Here is a 13237-nt window from a genome sequence, read left to right on the forward strand (position 1 = left end):
CAGAGTCAAGAGATTTTGTTGTTTAATAGGGAGTGGCTTTAGCATGTTTGGGGGCAGAGGGAAGAAACCTATGCAGACAGAAGAGTAGGAAGTGCTTTCTGAATGATAAATGTTCCTTGCTATTACTCCTGATGGGGCAGGTTTTCAAGTGGGTAATGTGAGGTTCTGGGTCTTTGGGTTAGACCTGAGAGCCTGTGCTAAAGTTAATAACCTAGCGCATAGGAATCACCTGAGAGACTGTTCAAATGCAGATTCTGATCAGTAGGTCAAGGATGAGGCCTGAAATTCTGCATTTTTAACAAGCTTGCAGAGGATGCTGATGCTGCCAGTCTGTGGGCCATACTTTGAGGAGCAAGGAACTACATCAGCAGATATGCTAAAACAAAACAGGGAAGCAAGTACTCATTAGCAAACCTCCTGTGTCAAACAGGTCAAATAATGAATCCTAAGGGAATGAAGTTATCCTTTCTGAAATGTTGATCATTTCAAGCCAGTGTTTAGATTATCTCCAAGGCAGGGAAGAATTAGCTTAGAGAAAGCAGAATGGCCATTTAAATGACAAAGGGTAGATCAGATGAAGACATATTGGAGACAGGAGAGGGCATGGGTAGGTCAAGAGGTTGTGGCCAGGCCTGGTTTGGTGGCTCATGCCTGTAATCCCAGCACTTTGAGAGGGGGAGAATTGCTTGAGCTCAGGAGTTTGAGACCAGGCTGGGCAGCATGATGAGACCCTGCCTCTACAAAATATAAAAAGTTAGCTGGGCATGGTGGTGTGCACCTGTAGTCTCAGCTACCAGGGAGGCTGTAGTGGGAGAATGGCTTGATTCTGGGGAAGTCAAGGCTGCAGTGAGCTGTGATTATACCACTGCACTCCAGCCTAGGTGACAGAGTGAGACTTTGTCTCAAAAAAAAAAAAAAAAGGAAATTGTGGCCCGATTAGGTGATAAGTTAAAGATTTTCAGCTGATGCGGTTCCGTCCAGTGACTTTGGCTGCCATTCTGCCAACAGCCTATCCCTAATGCAATACATGCTAGATGAAACATCAATACTCTTCAATCACAGGCGGGACTCCAGAAACTGGCAATAAATGTTTTTTAAGCACTCAAACATGAATAGCAGTTGTCAGAATTTACATCTTTTGATGGTAGAAAATGATTTAGTAGAGTTAATAAAAACCATTCAGCATTTTCATTGCTATGAAGTATGTTTCATTTGAGCTTTGATTGTCATAAATATCTTGCTGGTTAAATCCTGAGTCAAAACTACAGCTTTGGGATTTGACATGTTAAGAGAAAATTTTGAGATGAAATTGTTCATTAGAATTTCAGTATAGTTTCTTCAAAGGAAAATCTATAATCATCAGAAAGAACTGAATTTATTGTTTATTCCTCTTTTTAATGACATTAGTAGAAATATCTTGGCCATGAGTAGTAAGCGGAAGCCCATGCTTGTATTTCAAATATGTCTTGACTTTTGCATAAATAACTCTTGCATTTACGTTTTGTGGCATTGAATTCAGATTTTCCAACCTGCTTGCTGGAATTCCATGGGGAAATTTTAAGTTTTCTGAACCTAATTTTTTTGTTTATAAACTATAGATGATATCTCATTTTGTTAGTGATGGGTTAACAGTAATATATTTAAAAGACATTACATACAGCAGGCCTCCAATAAATGTTGGATGTATTTTTATATTTGCGGGACGAATCTGAAAGCACCATTTCGCACATTTCAACATTAAGAGTGAACCATATGTGGCTAAGTAAAAAAGATAGACAATAACAAATATTTGAGAGACTGTGGCTCCACACCGAACCCACCTAACAAATCAGAAACTCTGGAGGTCCAGTGATTGTGGAGTCACTGGAACCCTCATGCACTGCTGGTGGGATTACAAAATGATACAGCCACTTTGGAAAACAGTTTGGCATTTAAAAAAAGTTAAACATAGATTGACTTTATGACCCAGGATTTCTATTTCTAGGAATCTACCCAAGGAAAATGAAAATATGTCCACATAAAGGCTTGTACATAAATATTTATGGTAGCATTATTCATAATAGCCCAACAAAAAAAAATAAATGTCCACCGAATGGTGAATAAACAAATTGTGATATATCTATACAATTAATTGTTTGGCAACAAAAATGAATGAAGTACTGATATGTGCTGCAACATAGATGATCCTTAAAAACCATCTTCCTAACTGAAAGGATCCAGACATAAACGACAACAAATAGTGTGATTCCATTTATATGGAATTCTCAAAAAAGGCAAATCTACAGATAGAGAAAGTAAATTAGTGTTTGAGGCTGGTGGTGGGTAACTACAAATTGGCCCAGGGTTATTTTTTGGGGGGTTGTGGTGATGATGGAAATGTTCTAAAATTTGTGGTGACAGCTGCAGAACTCTAAATTTACTAAAAACCTTTGAACTGTACATTTTATGCTGGTGAATTGTATGGTATATAAACTATATCTCAATAATGCTGCTTTTAAAATAACGAACTGGCTGGGCACGGTGGCTCACGCCTGTAATCCCAGCACTTTGGGAGGCCGAGACGGGTGGATCATGAGGTCGGGGGATTGAGACCATTCTGGTTAACACGGTGAAACCCTGTCTTTACTAAAAAAAAAAAAAAAAATTAGCCAGGCATGGTGGCAGGCACCTGTAGTCCCAGCTACTGGGGAGGCTGAGGCAGGAGAATGGTGTGAACCCGGGAGGCGGAGCTTGCAGTGAGCCCAGATCGCGCCACTGCACTCCAGCCTGGGTGACAGAGTGAGACTCTATCTTAAAATAATAATAATAATAAAATAATGAACTGTATCTTTATAGATTTTGATTATTTCTATGTCAATTCTCACTGTTGTAAAATAAAGACAACTAGTGAAATACTTTTTACGGCTATCTAAAATGTGTTGGGTTCTTTGAGCCATCGTGAATGCTTCAGCTTTTTCAGTTCAGTAGAGAAGACTCTGGTTTTCAGAACAGCAAGCTTTACCCTGAAACTAATAGCCTGCAGGCACCAGCAGAGGATACTAACATCTGAACACAATAGAAAGTCCAGTCAAATGTTAAATGCAAATCAATAACACTGGCTGATGATTCCACATGAGTAAAAAGAGATTTGTAAGATGGAGTGTCTTCACTTTAGCCATTAAACTTCTCATTCACCCGTTCTTCATTAAATGCCTGTCTTAAACAGGGCCATTGAATCTAAGATATCAGACATGTTTGAATTATGGAGATCAACTGCTTCATTGTTGGCTTTGGGCACAGGATAAAAGGAATTGAATTTAATATTCCCCCAGAAAATGATGTAAGGAGAGGTAATTGGCAGCACCTGGAAGATACCATCTTAAAGTGGACAGCTGCCAGAGATGTGGTTATGGAAGTGCAAGTACATTCAAGACCCACCGATTCCCAATTATGTTACAATGCTAGAGACCTCACTCAAGGATCAGATTGAAGAACTAAGTGTGTGTGTGTGAATAAATTCTCTGGCCTTTTTGAAAATGGGAATTGTGTGACAGCTGGTTGTAGGGTCGTGTAGTTTCATCGTAAATAGAGAATGCAGAGACTTGCATTTGACAGTTTGTTTCTTTTGTACAGAGCTTACTGTGGGGATGTAATTTGAGCATCCCCTCAGGCAGATTGTTAGGCCTGCCAGGGCAAACATGCAAACTCTCCTTGGACTTCTTTGGTTGGTAGTAAATGAGCTGAGGGGTCAACAGGACTAGAAGGCATCTGAAATTTGCTGCTCAAACAACTCATGTTTCTCAATGTGTAATCCAAGAATCCTTGGTGTCAGAATCATCATGTGAGTGCATGGTGTAGTGGTGCTGTTATTAACAATTAGAAACTTGAGTGACTATACTGTACCACATTCTATTGCTGGGGAAAGGAGTAAAGAGACCATGATTCCTGCTTTGTGGAGCTTTCCTTCTGCAATTGTTTTCCAAGTGTTGGCCCTGGACCAATAGCATTTCCTTCACCTGGGTACTTAGTAGTAATGTAAATTTTCAGGCTCCACACTGAACCCACCTAACAAATCAGAAACTCTGGAGGTGCAATCTAATGATACGACTTTTAATAAGCCCTCCTCTTCTTGATGCATAGTAGCATTTAAGAAGCATTCATCTAGGACAGGGTTACTCAACTTCCTCACTACTGTCCTACGTATTGTAGGATATTTAGTAGCATTCCTGGCCCCTATTCTCAAGATGCCAGGTGGCTCCCCCACCCCAGCTGTACCAATAAAAAATGTCTCCAAATATTATGAAATGTTCCCTGGGGGCAAAATCATCCCTAGATGAGAACTAGTGCCTTATGGCAAGGCTGCTCAAAACGATCTGCTGACTGGCACCACTAGCACGACCTCAATCAAATCTCTGGGGCTGGAAAGGAGGAATCTGTGTTTTCAAAAGCACTTCTGGTAATTCTGATGCTGCTAAGGTTTGAGAATTACCATCCTAGCAGAGACAGGCAAGAAACCTTTAGATGTGTACATATAAGTAAATCACTCCAAGTGATGAGTATGCTACACGTCAGATTTGTAAGACGGAGTGTTTTCACTTTGTCCATTAAATTTCACATTTCAGAAGGACTGGGAAGATAGGAAAGAAGGTCAGGGTGCTCTGTGGGAAGGCTGTTAATTTTAAATAATGTGGTCATAGAAGGTCTCACTGAGAAGGTGATCTGAGACAGAAGAAAGTGAAGCAGTAAGTCAGATAAGAGGAAGAATACTTTGGACATAGAAAAGGAAAAACAGCAAAGGTCCTGGGGCAAGTGTATGTCTGGTGGGTTCAGAGGGCAGTGAGTAGGCCACAGCAATACAATAGAAAGGCATGGCAGGAAAATAGTTGGAAAAGAAATGAAAAATAATGAATTAACTTACCTCGTTGCAGACTTGACTTCTGTATGTACTGGCTATGTGTCTTTTAGTATATGCTGTGATCTTTTTGGACCTCAGCTTTCCTTTGTATACCTGTTCCCTGTAGGCCTTCTCTGAGAAATAAACATGATCAAAGGATAAACTTTTGAGAGGGAATATAGTACATATTTAAATTCTAAACTTCCAGCACTTAGCACATTACATTGATCATAAGACATAATCAATACATGTTATATGGATTGTTTAAAAAAATTTGAACAGAAAAATCACGACCTACCACAGCAGATTTTCGGTCTCAGCCTTCCAGATGGAAACTGGAAATCTGCATTTTTTTTTTTTTTTTTTTTTGAGACAGAGTCACTCTCTGTCGCCCAGGCTGGATGGAGTGCAGTGGCACGATCTTGGCTCACTGCAAGCTCCGCGTCCCGGGTTCATGCCATTCTCCTGCCTCAGCCTCCCGAGTAGCTGGGACTACAGGCCCCCACCACCACGCCCAGCTAATTTTTGTATTTTTGGTAGAGATGGGGTTTCACTGTGTTAGCCAGGATGGTCTCAATCTCCTGACCTTGTGATCCGCCCGCCTCGGCCTCCCAAAGTGCTGGGATTACAGGCGTGAACCACTGCGCCTGGCCTGAAATCTGCATTTACAACAAGTTTTCCTAGGTGACTCTTGAATATATACAATATTTTGAGTATCTTCATTCTTCTCATATAAATGTACCATGATCCCTTTAAAATTATTTGAAATGCCCTAGCAGTGGAATTTTGCAGGGATAAAAATTCATCCATGAGGCTCTAAGACCTTCCCCCAAATGAGCCAGGTTTTAGACCTACCATGGCATGCTTGGGGATTATAGTGAGGGTTTTGTCACTTTGTGGCGAGGCTTCCTGGATTGAATATTCAGGGGACTCCTCAGAGGAAGCCAATCAATAGTATTAAGGACTAGAAACATGTCCTGACCCACTGCATGATAAAAGTAACTCTGAGGTAGATATGGTATTATGTCCACCATGGTTATGTTGAAATTAAAGTTATCCAAGGCAAAAGATTCCTTATACTGTACCTGACTATCTATCTAAGTTTTCTTTTGCTTTGCACTCAACACCTCTCTCCTGATTCGTTGACTTATGTCGTTATGCTTTGGTAACTAAATAACCTTGAACTTCTGTAGCTTCTACCCTCCTAAATGTTCGGTGTTTGGGGCCATTTTCAGTCCTTAAAAATAAACCATTCCTCAACATGTTACTCTCTGGTTATTTTGCTCAACCTTATTTGCCTTGGGGAACCAAAAAGATTAAATCTTACCAGGTCTTGAAGTTACAACAATTTGAACTGCTAGATTTTTCTGCCTTAATTTCCCCTCTGTGAGTTCAAGAGGTCAGACATAGTCTGAGGCAATACTTAAGGAGTCTGTATCTCGAAAAAGCAATTGGATTAAGTTGCTTGAATCTGTCTCCTCTTTTCACATTGAAATGATGGGGGCAGGGGGATGGAGGAGTGTCAAGATGAGCTTTCAATTGATTTATTTGGTAGAGAAAATGCACCAAAGCTGAAGAGAAAATGCCTTCTCATTATTGAGTTGCTAAGCTGCACCTGATAGTTCACGTTGTGGTCCATGACTGGAGCTGGAAGCACCAAAAGTTTTTATTCATTTAATTCACTAATAAATTAATTACACTCATCAGTAAGATTCATACACAAGCAATCTAAAGAAGTTAAAAAAAATCAAGGATGTTGCCATTTATACTGAACTGGACTATCATTCTTTTTAAAATTTCTCCTTACAGTCCCTTGCAACATTTATACTTCACACCTCTCATTCCTCAGATGGGAGAACTGAGAGTCCTAACGGTTCTGGAGTCTGTTCCAAAGTTTTTAAGTATTTCTGTCTTCCAAGATTAGGTGCAACACGCTCACTAAACTTTTCCTCCACTGCTCGTTCACCCAGAAACATTTTGAATTAAAGATGTTTCTAGGGTCGTCAGATAAAATTCAGAATGCCTAGCTAAATTTGAATTTTTGATACACAACAAATATATTTTTTAGCATAATTATGTCCCCAATACAAATATGTCTCAAATATTACATGGTAGATACACGTATACTAAAGATGTATTTGCTCTTTACCTGAAATTCAAATTCAACTCAGCATCCCGTATTTTTACTTGTAAATTCTGCCAACACTAGTTACTCCTCTTTAACTAATGCTGTTTCGACTTCAGTGCAGTAGCTCACACCAGTAATCCCACCACTTTGGGAGACCAAGGCGGGTGGATCATTGAGCGTAGGAGTTCAAGACCAGGCTGGGGAACATAGTGAGACCCCTGTCTCTACAAAAAAAACAAAACAAAACAAAAAATAGCTTGAAGTGGTGGCATGTGCCTGTGGTTCCAGCTACTTGGGAGGCTGAGATGGAAGGATAGCCTGAACCCAGGAGTTTGAAGTCACAGTGAGCTGTTATTATGCCACTGCACTCCAGCTTGAGCAACAGAGCAGCAAGTTCCTGTCTCCCCGCCCCTCAACCAAAAAGGAATATTTTGTTGTAATGGTTAAACTTTAATCAAAGAGGATCTCTGAGGCAAGTTATTTAGCTTCCCTAGCAGGAGGAAATTAAGAAAACTAAATTATATTCTTTGAATAAAAGACAATTTAGAACCTAAGACTTTGCTTTCTTAAAAAATGTTAGGATTAGAAACTATTGTCATATTTCCCTAAAATTGCTGACGTAGTAATTGGAGGTGTCTCTCAGTAGACCCTAGAACTTATTTTATTATGTAAAAAGTGATGAAACCAAGAAGATTACAACATGTTTTTTTTTTCTTCTTATAAATCTTCACAGGCCTGAATTATAGCAGAACTTTTATCCAATCTACTTTTAATTTGCTATTGGGTCAAAGGTCCATGCTAGTGGGATGGGCACTATAATTAACGATTGCCACCTGTGTGAATTCTTTTGCATTTAAAGCACGTAAGCCCACCCCTGAGCCCAGTTAATATGAAGCACTGAACCAAGATGGCTGTACCCTATCGTGTGATTCCCTCCTTGTGAACGGGTACAGCTTCAGTGAAGAAGTTTCAGTTTGGCTTAAGATTTAGCAAAAGAACTTGGTAGTCTCCTCATTTCAAGACGGTTAACTATGTCACGTCATGGAAAGGAGGTATTGTGAAGAAGCAGGCAAAGATTTTGAATAATCTAATTTCTTTTTCTGCATTGTGATGTTTAAGACTGCTAAATGAAAACCATTGTTTTTGCAGAATCCTGAACATCATCATAAAAAGACAGTCACCAGTCCTGCTCATCTGGAGGACTGTTCTCACAATCTTCAGCAAGGAGGTACGTTCAGGTTTAGTCCTTTTAAGTTCTCTAATACTTTTTGGGAGGCCGAGGCAGGTGGATCATTTGAGGTTAGGAGTTCGAGACCAGCCTGGCCAACATGGTATAACCCCGTCCCTATTAAAAATACAAAAATTAGCCGGGCATGGTGGCACTTGCCTGTAGTCCCAGCTACTCGGGAGGTTGAGGCAGAAGAATCGCTTGAACTGGGGAGGTGGAGGTTGCGGTGAGCTGAGATCCTGCCACTGCACTTCAGCCTGGATGACAGAGCAAGACTCTGTCTCAAAAAAAAAAAAAAAAAAAAAGAAAAAAAAAAAGTTCCTTAATACTCTTATTAGAAGCTATGGTCAGTAATTCTCTTTGTATTTAGCCCTACCTGGTTTTTAGAATGCTTACTCCAGTTAATCAGTTCAACTCAAGGCAGCAGTTTCTTGCCAGGAAGAGCGGAGAGAAAAGAATTGAGCTGATGTCTTTCTCTATATTGCAATATCTCTTGAAACAAGGTGGTTCTGGGAGCTTGAGGGTTTTGCTTTTCTTTGAGGTTGGGGAGAGAGTTGTGACTGAGAAAGTGGGAATGGATTCAGGGGGTGGAACTTCGTTTTACAGCCATGTGATGAAATGTGAAGTAAGTTTTTAGTACAACTCTCATGTAGGTGTAACAAATAGTTAAGCATTAGAATGCCTTCAGGTGCCACGTTATTGTACTCACCTGGAAGTTAAACAGACTCTTCTAAAGCAGCTCTCTTGCTTTAGAAGGTTTTGGTCTCAAACCTCTGTATTCTGGTGTTTCTAAATGTGGTAATCTTTCTGGTTTAGTATGTTTCACAAAATCCCAGACTCAACCAATATAATCAGTATGCTTTGCTTAGTCATTAAGGTTTTCCAGGGTAAAATATGCAAAGATATTAAAATCTGAATTGTAAGTTTTATATACTTTGGGGACTTGGAAGTTTATATCATACGTCTGCAAACATTTTCTGTAAAGGACTAGACAGTAAATATTTTAGGCTTTTTGTGGGCCATATGGTCTGTCACATGACTCAATTCTGCCATTGTAGCAATAAAGCAGCCCTGGATAAGATGCAAAGGAGTATGGTATGTTCCAATAAAACTTTATTTGTAGACACTGAAATTTAAATTCTATATTATTCTCAGGTGTTGTAAAATATATTTTCCTTGCAATTTCTTTTCCATCTCAAAGGTTGGGAATAAAAACAAAAAAAAATGGGTGGAAGGATGGATTTGGTCTACAGTTTGTAGTTTGCTGACCTACCTTTACATCAATAAAACAAGTCAAGTTCTGTGAACCTCCACTTGGTTTGTGATGCTGCCAGGATCTTGTATTATGTTCATGTTAAACTAATCATTTCCCAAAATGAACGGGGCCCATGTCAGAGGGGTTAGTGCCTCTTGGGGGTAGGCATCATATCTTTAGCTGCCCATTGTGGAAAAAGGGAGCAGTGGCAAATATTGAAGTCACCTGGCGCATCTTGGGTGTTGATTCTGATTGTTCTAGGAATAAACCTTTTGCATTTGGGACATTCTGCCTTCCCAGCCAGTAACCTCCCAACCTTTCTCACCTCCTCTCAGCCTTCTTTTAGTTCTTCAGCCAGTTAACAGGACATGAGAGAGTTGTCAGCTTGGTTGCTGCTTTTCAGCAGGTCATTTGGCAGAAGGTTTCTTTACATTCTGCTTTTATTGCTTCTCTGTGATTAAAGGGGTTCCTTTCAAACACACGGCAAGAGTTGTTTGACCATAGCTATTCCTCAGTGTAGGCAAACTCAAGTATAGAAAACAAACAAACCCATCCACTGCTGCTCCCTCTTACTCTCTATACACACATAAATAAATAATTTGAGGCATGCTGATTGAAGAAAAAAACCCTTTACAGAAGAGAGCATTGCATGCAGTCTTTAAATTTCTTCTAAATCATTGCAAGCTTTTTCTAAATAGAATACCCCCTAAGTATGTTGAAATTGAGACTATTTAAAAAGGAAAGCATAACTTGTGTCAGGTGATAATGTGCTGTGTGACATTAGGTACAGAGAGGTGAAGTAACTTATCTGAGTCACTTTCTAAAAAGAGGAATTGAACTACATGAACTCAAGGGGCTTCTTGTATACTAATGACTTAGTATACAAGTAAACTTGCTACTCAGGTTTGTTTGCTAGGAGCAATAGACTATACCATGTAGCCTAGGTTCGTATATTTTGTGAAACTCACACAATGACAAAATCACCTATTGATGCATTTCTCAGAAGGTATCCCCATCATTAAGGGATACATGACTGTCTTATATTTGGCAAATATAGTTGACCACTGAGGGTTTTCACTTGTGAATTCAGCCACCACCAATGGAAAACATTTGGTGGGGGCAGGAAGTATCTGTACTGAATGTATATAGGCTTTTCCGGTCATTATTCCCTAAATAGTATAGTATAACTACTATTTACATGGCATTACATTGTATTAGGTATAAGTAATCTAGAGCTGACTTAAAGTATATGGGGAAATGTACATAGATTATATGCAAATACTATGTCATTTTATAAAGAGACTTAGCATCATGAATTTTGGTATCTTCGGGGAGCCCTGAATCAGTCCTCTATGGTACCAAAGGACAGCTGTGTTTATTTCATACCTTCGTTAATACAGAGAGGTGGTTCCCAAATGTCTTAGTGTAAGAACACTTTCATATTCCTAGAAAAAAATAATCAAGGACCTCAAAGATCTATGTATACAGTTATGCCTATTGATATTTACCATATTAGGAACTAAGAGAATGATTTACTGATTTATTAAAATAATAAACTTATCCTTGTTAACAGAAATAACTTGTTATAAAAAAAAAAAAAAAAAAAAACCTTTCCTGAAGCAAAAAAGTTAATGAGAAGCGTGGAAGATTTCCCCCACAGTTCTGTAGGTCTTTCTAGTGTCTGGCTTAATAGGTAGTTGGGTTCACGTATCTGCTTCTGCATTCAAGCTGCAGTGATATCACACGTCATGTAGCCTCTGGAAAACTGCACTGTAACTGATGAAAGGATGAGCGTGAAAAAGACAAGTGACATTTTAGTGTTACTAGCAAAGTAGCTTTGACTTGTTGGATGCCCTGCAGGGACCACCAGGGCTCCCTGGATCACAGTTTAAGAACCACTGGTAGGGCAGTAAACCATGGACAAGGTATGTATAATTCCTTCCATGTAAGTGGATCAGCTGTCCTGCTGACCAGGCACAAACTTCTCACTGTGACTACACTTCCGAAGTTGCTGCCTAAAGATGGTTATCAAATGACCACCTTTTAAAATCTGTAAGCTAACATTTCCAATGGTAGCACTAGTACCTATGTGTGAGACACACTGCTCTTCACAACTTTACACGGTATGGCTGGAAATAGGAAAAATGAAGGAAAGAACTGCTGCTGCTGACCCGCATTTCCATCAGGTGTGGGTTTGGTTTCTCACTCTTGTTATAGATTCATACTCAAAGAATTATGACTCATCAGTCATCGAGTGTTGGAGTGCTATTAAAGGCTATAGTGATTAAAAAGTATAAGGTAGCGAATTATATGATTTTTCATCTTCAAGGAAACGAATGTCCAAAGAGGTGGGTGAAGTTTCCAAGATTACCTGGTGAGGAAGTACAGTCATCCCTCCTTATCCATGTTTTTGCCTTCCACAGTTCTGGTTACCCATAGTTAACAGGTCTGAAAATATAAGATTGGAAATCCTAGAAATAATTCATAGGTTTCCAATTGCCTGTGATTCTTAGTATCACAATAAAATCTCTGGCTCTCCTGCTTTGTCCCACCTGGGATGTGAATCTTCCTCTGTCTAGCGTATCCATGCTGTATATTCTGAGTCTGGTAGTCACTTAGTCATTTCAATTATAGGTTACAAAAACATAGCATATATAGGGTTTATATATCTACAGTTTCAAGTATCCACTGGGGGTCTTGGAATGTATGCCCCACGTATAAGGAGGGGGCTACTCTACTAAACCTGAAGTAGAATTAAGATATCATCTTTATATTATACTGTACTGTATCTGTGGTACCTGCCCTTCGGCAGCCTAGAGTTACAAACTAAATGTAATAATCAACTAAATTTATAGAGTGTGGATTCCAAAGCAGGTCATTCAGTTACATAGACTCACAGAGGCTGGGGTCAGCTGAGAGAAATACTGGAGCTTTAGTGGGAATTGTGAGGCAAACTTTTGAAGTACCAGGAGGACTTGGATGGAAACAATAATGCAGAAGAAATAATGTGGGGAAAGGCACAGAGGCAGAGATGGCCAGAAAGGAGAATAGCCCCATATTAACACAGAGCATGTGCTGAAGAATAAGGAAAGAGGAGGCTGATTGATGGGGTGATGGCAGCCATACCCTGTCCAAATCAGGAGCATCCATTTTGAGATGCCTCATCTAACTGGGGCTGCAGACAAATGGCTTGTGAAAAGATCCGTACTAACAGAGCTTTACAAGGATTCCACCCAAGATTTTGGCCATTTAACTTCATGGATGAACCAACCGAGCTAACCAGCCACAGATGCTTTGTTTATAACCAGAGGAATTCATGTGAGCTTGGTGATGACAATTCCCTGTCTATAAAACGCTGATAGTTAAACAGTGATACTGTGTGAAGCACTTGGAGTCTCTATCTCGGGAGGCAGTTCTTAAGTGTAATGGTTTAATGGTCATTTAGCATGATGGGCCTTTGGAGTGTAATATCATTTGCCTGCCAGTTAAAATGAACACTTCTCTGTGGGAAGTCAAAGATCATGTCAGCGTAACCTGGATTAGGGGAAGGAAAGCATCAAGAAGTGAATGCCAAAATAGAAAACAGGGAATAAGATTTCTTGTACGCCTGGCCTGTTCATAAATCCAATTTAATTAGAGAACACCACTAATTTTCACTGACTAGGGGAGGCGGAAATTTTCTATGAAGCAACAAGTTTGACTTTTTTTTTTTTTTAAAGGAATGCTGCTTTATCTTCACTTTCCTCCTGTCAT

General features: G+C 39.7%; 1 protein-coding gene across 1 annotated transcript in view; it reads left to right on the plus strand.

The window, feature by feature from the left end:
* Positions 1-13237, plus strand: part of RARB (retinoic acid receptor beta) — a 768612-nt gene that overhangs the window by 21203 nt on the left and 734172 nt on the right. The window contains exon 2 of the mRNA NM_001290216.3: positions 8151-8229. The gene's annotated coding sequence lies outside the window, so the exon portion shown is untranslated. The remainder of the gene's footprint in view (positions 1-8150; positions 8230-13237) is intronic.

This window comes from Homo sapiens, chromosome 3 (assembly GCF_000001405.40).
Source record: "Homo sapiens chromosome 3, GRCh38.p14 Primary Assembly".
NCBI classification, from domain to species: Eukaryota; Metazoa; Chordata; class Mammalia; order Primates; family Hominidae; genus Homo; species Homo sapiens.